Source organism: Homo sapiens, chromosome 12 (assembly GCF_000001405.40).
Source record: "Homo sapiens chromosome 12, GRCh38.p14 Primary Assembly".
Taxonomy (NCBI): Eukaryota; Metazoa; Chordata; class Mammalia; order Primates; family Hominidae; genus Homo; species Homo sapiens.
The window spans coordinates 106,949,012-106,955,498 of record NC_000012.12 but is presented as its reverse complement, the minus strand read 5'-3'; the positions used below and the strand labels follow the sequence as shown (position 1 = coordinate 106,955,498).

General features: G+C 40.9%; 1 long non-coding RNA gene across 1 annotated transcript; it reads left to right on the top strand.

Moving 5' to 3' along the window:
• On the top strand, window positions 4-1,986 carry TMEM263-DT (TMEM263 divergent transcript). Its single transcript, NR_185933.1, has one exon. It is a non-coding gene; the product is annotated as a TMEM263 divergent transcript (long non-coding RNA).
• The last annotated feature ends 4,501 nt before the right edge of the window (window positions 1,987-6,487 follow it).

Below are 6,487 nucleotides of genomic sequence, written 5' to 3'. Positions count from 1 at the left end.
GGTGTTTTGACGTCGGCGGTGCCCGCGTTCCGCGCCGAGTAACGGTCTTCGGAATTCAGAGCCTTCGCCTTAGGGAAGGTGGGACGGTCGCCAGTTTCTCCAGCACTTTCTTCGTCCAGGGACGTCAACCTCCCTTGCATGCTGTCCTCAGGGACTGACAGCGGGGCCTGCTCAGAAGTTCTCGTCGGGACTCTCTACAGGCCTTTGTGATTAAGTGCTAGGGGTGAGGAGAGACGTGGCTTATTTATGTGTTTTTCAGTTTGTTATGATTTTTTTTTTTTTAATTTTACTTCTCCCTGCCCTAGAATTGAGCTCCTTGAGAGTAAAAACCCGCCTGGGTCGCCATCACCCTAGGCTTGGTGCAGGGCCTGCCAGGCGCTCGAATTTGTTGAAGAGGTGGGTGTTCAGTATCGAAAGAGCCGCGGATTGTACATTAGAAAGCCTGGCTTTGCGCCGCGTCCTTGCCACTTGCTGACCAGGCCCCTCCACGTGGTCCCCGCCGGGGCAGCAGCTCTCCTCACCCGTCCAAAGGCACGGGGAGGCGCGTGGCGGCCCCGCCAGAGCTGAGCCCCCTGGGATGTGAGGCCGTCTCGCTCTGAGCTTCAGAGCAGGGTTGCAGGAGACACCTCAGAAGGTCGTTTTGAGGACGGGAGGAGATGAACTGCTCAAAGCCTGCTTAACTAGATAAATGGTATCGATTAACTTTTCTTTGACTCCCTTTCCACACCTATAAAATGAAGATGACGGGAAACTTGTCATACTTTTTTTGTGGTGGGTGGGAAAGGTCTTTATGAACTGTGAAGTCCTATGCAAACGTGAGATGTTTCCTTTCGCAATCTGATTAGCGAAGCAAAAACACGCGAGTCAAAAACATACACAGAAAGCAAAAAAAAAAAATTCACAAAATGGTTTATCAACTGCAGAATATTCAGGATGGTGGAACTGAATGGTAACTACTGACAACATAGCTCAGAAAGGACGTGCTAAAACATGCTGGATGAAGCTAACTTTGATCCAGGTCTTAAATGGAATGGACTATAGTTTATAGCTTCAACCTAATCATTAACTTATGAAATCAGAGAATTAAGGCCACTTAAGCCACTGTGCTCAGACTGTCAAGATATTTAGTTTCTCAAAGCAGAAAGAGGAAATTAAATACTCTTGTCAATTCAACATATGGGTTGGATGATTAGCAGGATCCGTGGATTGTTGTTTATCCAGTATGTGAAGAAACGGATATCCTCTGTTTTCTCGTTATTACACAAACTTCTATCCTTAATATGTGACCTTTCAAGGTTGAACTCTAGGTAAAATTATGAAGTGCACAATTACGTCTTGTTTCTTCTTCCCTTTGCACGTCGTTTTACAAGAGAATCTAATTATTATTAAAGTACAAATGACTGACAAGATTGTAGCCACTCCTGGGAGATTTTGCATTTTTACGGTTATTAAAAGCCATAACTCAAAGCAGCAGTTGAATCTGTTTCATAAACTAACTAAGATTTAAAAGAGCTCCTTTGGGAGGTCATGAGTTCATCAGAAACTTCTGGTGTAGGAGTTCAGCCTATAAAACAAACAAATACATGACTTGTAGTATTTCTTCGTTTTATAGTCTGAACTCCTCTAAGTTCTTGATTCCCATTCTGTGACCTCCCTTTCTTAGATTGTTAAAATAAAATACAGATGACTCACGCCTTTAATCCCAGCACCTCGGGAGGCTGAGTCGGGAAGATCACTTGAGCCTAGGAGTTTAAGACCAGCAAGGGCAACATGGGGAGATCCCATCTCTTAAAAAAATAATAATAATAATTGAGCATGGTGGCACCCTCCTGTAGTCCCAGCTATTTGGGATACTGAAGCAGGAGGATTGCTAGAGCCTGGGAGGTCAAAGCTGCACTGAGCCGTGGTCACACCACTGCATTCCAGCCTGGACAACAGAGTGAGACCCTGTTTCAAGAAAAATAAAATGAAACATTTATTTCTGGATGTTATTTTGAAAGATTTTGTCATGTCTTAATGAGCCCTGGCCACGTAATCACAGCATTTTGGGAGGCCAAGGTGGGAGGATTGCTTAAAGCCAGGAGTTTGAGACTAGCCGGGTCAATATAGTGAGACCCTGTTTCTACAAAAAATAAATAAATAAATAGCCAGGTGTGGTGGCACGCACCTGTAGTCCTAGCTACTTGGGAAGTTGAGGCAGGAAGGTCACTTGAGCCAGGATTTCAAGGCTGCAGTGAGCTATGATTGTGCCTCTGCTCTCCAGCCTGGGTGACAAAGTGAGACCCTCTCTCTTAAAATAACAATAATGATGAATTCTTAGTGCCTTCAGGCAATAAAATTCTTTTAACAAAATTCTTAATACACATATCAATTACCCAGCCTCTTAAGTGACTGAGTTTTCTTCTAGTTGGGTACACACACAGTCTTTTTGCCTTATTGAAAAACTTAGAAATTAGATGTGGCATTGCTTAACATGGTGGGGTGGTTCAAAGAGGACCAGAAAGAAGGCAGAAACCAGTAATGTTAAAGCAAGAAATTATTTCTAGGCTGATAGTACGCTGAAGTTTAAAAAGCTCCAGCCCAACCTTCTACCCAACATGTGAGTCTGTCTCCTGTTATGTGCACAATCATAGTTTTCATCATTATCAAACACTCTTCCCAGGGTTTCAGTATGGACTCATTTAAGTAAGAAGCCTACTTGTTGCAAGGTGCGCACGTTTTTCCTGTTTCACCATGTTTTCATGAGTGTAATGCATTATCCTTGCATTAAATTAACAGCTTTATAAAAGTTAGTTACCCCCCAGTGTAAATCATTATGCTTTCTATCCTCACTTTCTTCACTGCTCTTTGCCATTCCTGGCACAATCACCTGTGCTATTGGTTTTCCTTTGCCTGCACCAATATCCTTAATTTTTCCTATGATACGGCAGATTTATTTGACACAGCTCCTAACCTCGATCATCTGATTTCTCTCAATCCAATGAAGCAAGCACATTATATTCTAATATAGGAAATCCTATATTCATATGAGGAAACCGAGGCATAGAGAAGTTGGATAATTTACCCTGGGTCCCACAGGCTAGTGAAGAGCAGGCTTTAGAATCAAACCCAATTTTGTCTGACTCTAGAGCCCAAGTTCTTAATCACTATATTCCGAGAAAGAGAAAAGCAGTTTCTGACATGCAGTAGATGCTGGCACACTAGGCTTTGGTATTCTTGTTGAACAAAAATAATTTTAGAGAACATCAACATCAGACGAGGCCACTCCATGATCATGGTGGATCAGGACAAAAATAAGACTACTTCATAATCGTGTGTGAATGTAGACAAAAACACAAATGCTGTCCAACCCACCAAATGAAATACACAAAATGAAAATACCAAACTAGTCTACGTAGCTGTTGCCTCTTTGCCAATGACAGCTTAAGCCTCATTCCAGTCTTCCCTCTTTCTAGATAAGATTTATTAAGATACCCAATCATAGAATTACCCCCACTTCCTGACAATATCCTGTTTAGAGCATAGAGCAAAGTTCCACCACCTTAAACCCTCTATCAGATCACCTAACACAAACCCAATCTTACTAAAAGATTTTTTTGAACACCTTACCAGTATGCCACGTGGTTCCCCGTGATGTGTTCTTCCTTGCTGCAATGAGTAGTAAATTCGGCTTGTTCAACCACAGGTGTGTTCCTGGTGATCTTTGACTAGAAAGCATTGACAGTTCTTTCTGGACTATTCTATATCATGCATTTCTATGGAGTAGAAAGCATACTTATTAGGTATTTCTGCCAGTCAAAGGACTGGAAACTGCCCTTTCATCTCCAGCCATAGGATTGTCACACCAAAGCTAGAAGGTTCCCTTTCTTTTTGTGGATCATATATAGAGTGTCTGCTAAATTGAGCCTTATTAAAAGATAGTGAAAAGAAGCACATGTTGGAATAATTGGACATCATTTTTAAAACAAAAGCTTAACACCTATAAACTCATGCCTTTCACCATATGCAAAATAATTCAAAATGGATCATAGACCTAAATGTGAAAATATAAAACTTTTAGAAGAAAACATAGGAGAACATTTTTATGATCTTGAATTAGGCAGAGTTTTCTTAGGTACAACAAAAAACACAATCCATGAAAGAAAGAAATTTATAAAAACTTGCTGTTTGGATAACACTTGCTCTTTGGATGTCACTTAAGAAAACAAAAGAACAAGCAACAGACTGGGAGAAAATATTTGCAAAACATACCTTTTTTTTTTTTTTCTTTGAGACGGAGTCTCGCACTGTCACCCAGGCTGAAGTGCAGTGCACAATCTCGGCTCACTGCAAGCTCTGCCTCCTGGATTCACGCCATTCTCCTACCTTAGCCTCCCGAATAGCTGGGACTGCAGGCGCCTGCCACCATGCCCAGCTAATTTTCGTTTGTTTGTTTGTTTGTTTGTTTTTTAGTAGAGACGGGGTTTCACTATGTTAGCCAGGATGGTCTCCATCTCCCGACCTCATGATCCGCCTGCCTCAGCCTCCTAAAGTGCTGGGATTACAAGCGTGAGCCACCGCTCCCAGCCAAAACATACCTATTAAGTGACTGTATTCTGAATATGTGAAACAATCTTACAACTCAGAAGACAATCCAGTTTTAAAATGTGTGAATAATTGAACAATCACTTTACCAAAGGAGATACATGGATGGCAAATAAGCATATGAAAAGATGCGCAACCCCTCCCACCCCGAGGCAACCTCTCATCTGTTTTCTCTCCTTATGGTTTTGCCTTTTCCAGAATGTCATATAAATGGAATACAGTATGAAGCATTTTTAGTCTTGCATCTTTCACTTAGAATAATGGATTTGAGATGTATTTATGTTGTGTGTAGGAGTAGTTTGTTCCTTTTGTTGCTGTAGTCTATTTACTATAGTAGTCATTAGGGAAATGCAAATCAAAGCCACAGTGATCACTACTTGGTTGAAATAAAAATAATTTCAAAAGCTATTGATGATGGACAGAAACTAAAACTCTCAGATGTTGTTGGTGGGAATGCAGAGGGGTACATACACTTGGGAAATGGTTTGGGAGTTTCCTATAAAGTTATGCATACACTTGTGATATGACCTAGAAATCCTACTCCTAGATATTTACCCAAGAGAAATGAAAACATGTTCACACAAAAACCTGAACATATTTTATAATCATCTAAAACTAGAAACACCCTAAATGCCCTTTAATTTGTGAATGGATAAGCAAACCGTGGTACATATATACAATAGAATCTACTCAGCATATAAAAGGAACAAACTGCTCCTACACACAAATAAATCTCAAGTGCATTATTCTAAGTGAGAGATGCAAGATTAAAAAGTCTTCATACTGTATTCCATTTATATGACATTCTGGAAAAGGCAAAACCATAAAAAGAGAAAAGAGATCAGTGGTTGCCTGTGAGGTGAGAGGAGTTGACTATAAAGTGGAGCTTAAGAGAATTGGGGAGGGGTAATGGAACTGTTGGATATCTTGACTGTGATGTGTGTGGGTTACAGAATGTATGCATCTGCCAAAACTCATAGATTTGTACACTAAATAGAGCAGTTTTGCTGTGTGTAAATTATACCTTAATAATTTTGACTTGAAAAAGAAAGATGTTGGAATGGGAAAAAAGAGTTGTGATGAGGTAGAGCTACCTGACACCATGAATATGAAGACTGGCCCAAAGGTGAGCAGCCTCTTATACTCCTAATGGGCAGCACTTCACAGTAGTTTCAGTAATACAACCTGAGTTTAAAGATGTTCAATTTGTTCTTATGTTTTTGCCTAATTGCTTACCATACTTGACCACTGTTGGCTAGTTTCTTCTCTCAAGTGCCCTTACCTCTACAGTAACCAGTAGAGCAACTTCAGTACCCAGTTTGAGTCTGGTTTCTACCCTTGGTTCTATCCTTGATACAGTTTGGCTGTATCCCCACCCAAATCTCATCTTGAATTGTAGTTCCCATAATCTCTATGTGTTGTGGGAGGGACCTGGTGGGAGGTAATTGAATCATGGGGGCTGTTACCCCCATACTGTTCTTATGATAGTGAGTGAGTTCTCATGAGATCTGGTGGTTTTATAAAGGGACTTTTCCTCCTTTGCTCGGCACTTCTCCTTCCTGCCGCCATGTGAAGAGGGACATGTGCACATTAAGCATTTAAAGATCGTTAAAGGGTAATACAAATAAAGGCCAAATTGAGTAAAAAAAGAGGACTGAATGAGTGCAGAAAAGATAGATATGGATGTGGGCTGAAGAAAGCTTCTGCAGCAGGGAGAGGAGGGAAGTTATATTTTAATAAGAATTGAATACCTACTTTTTTAAGGACGTCAGCATGATACTTATAAATTATGAGAGCGGAATCATTACTATTTTCTACCTGCATCCAGTATAGATGTTAGGACTAGGGAGAGGACTAATGATAAGCTTCCATTTCACCTTGGAGCAAGGCACCCAAAGTGGTG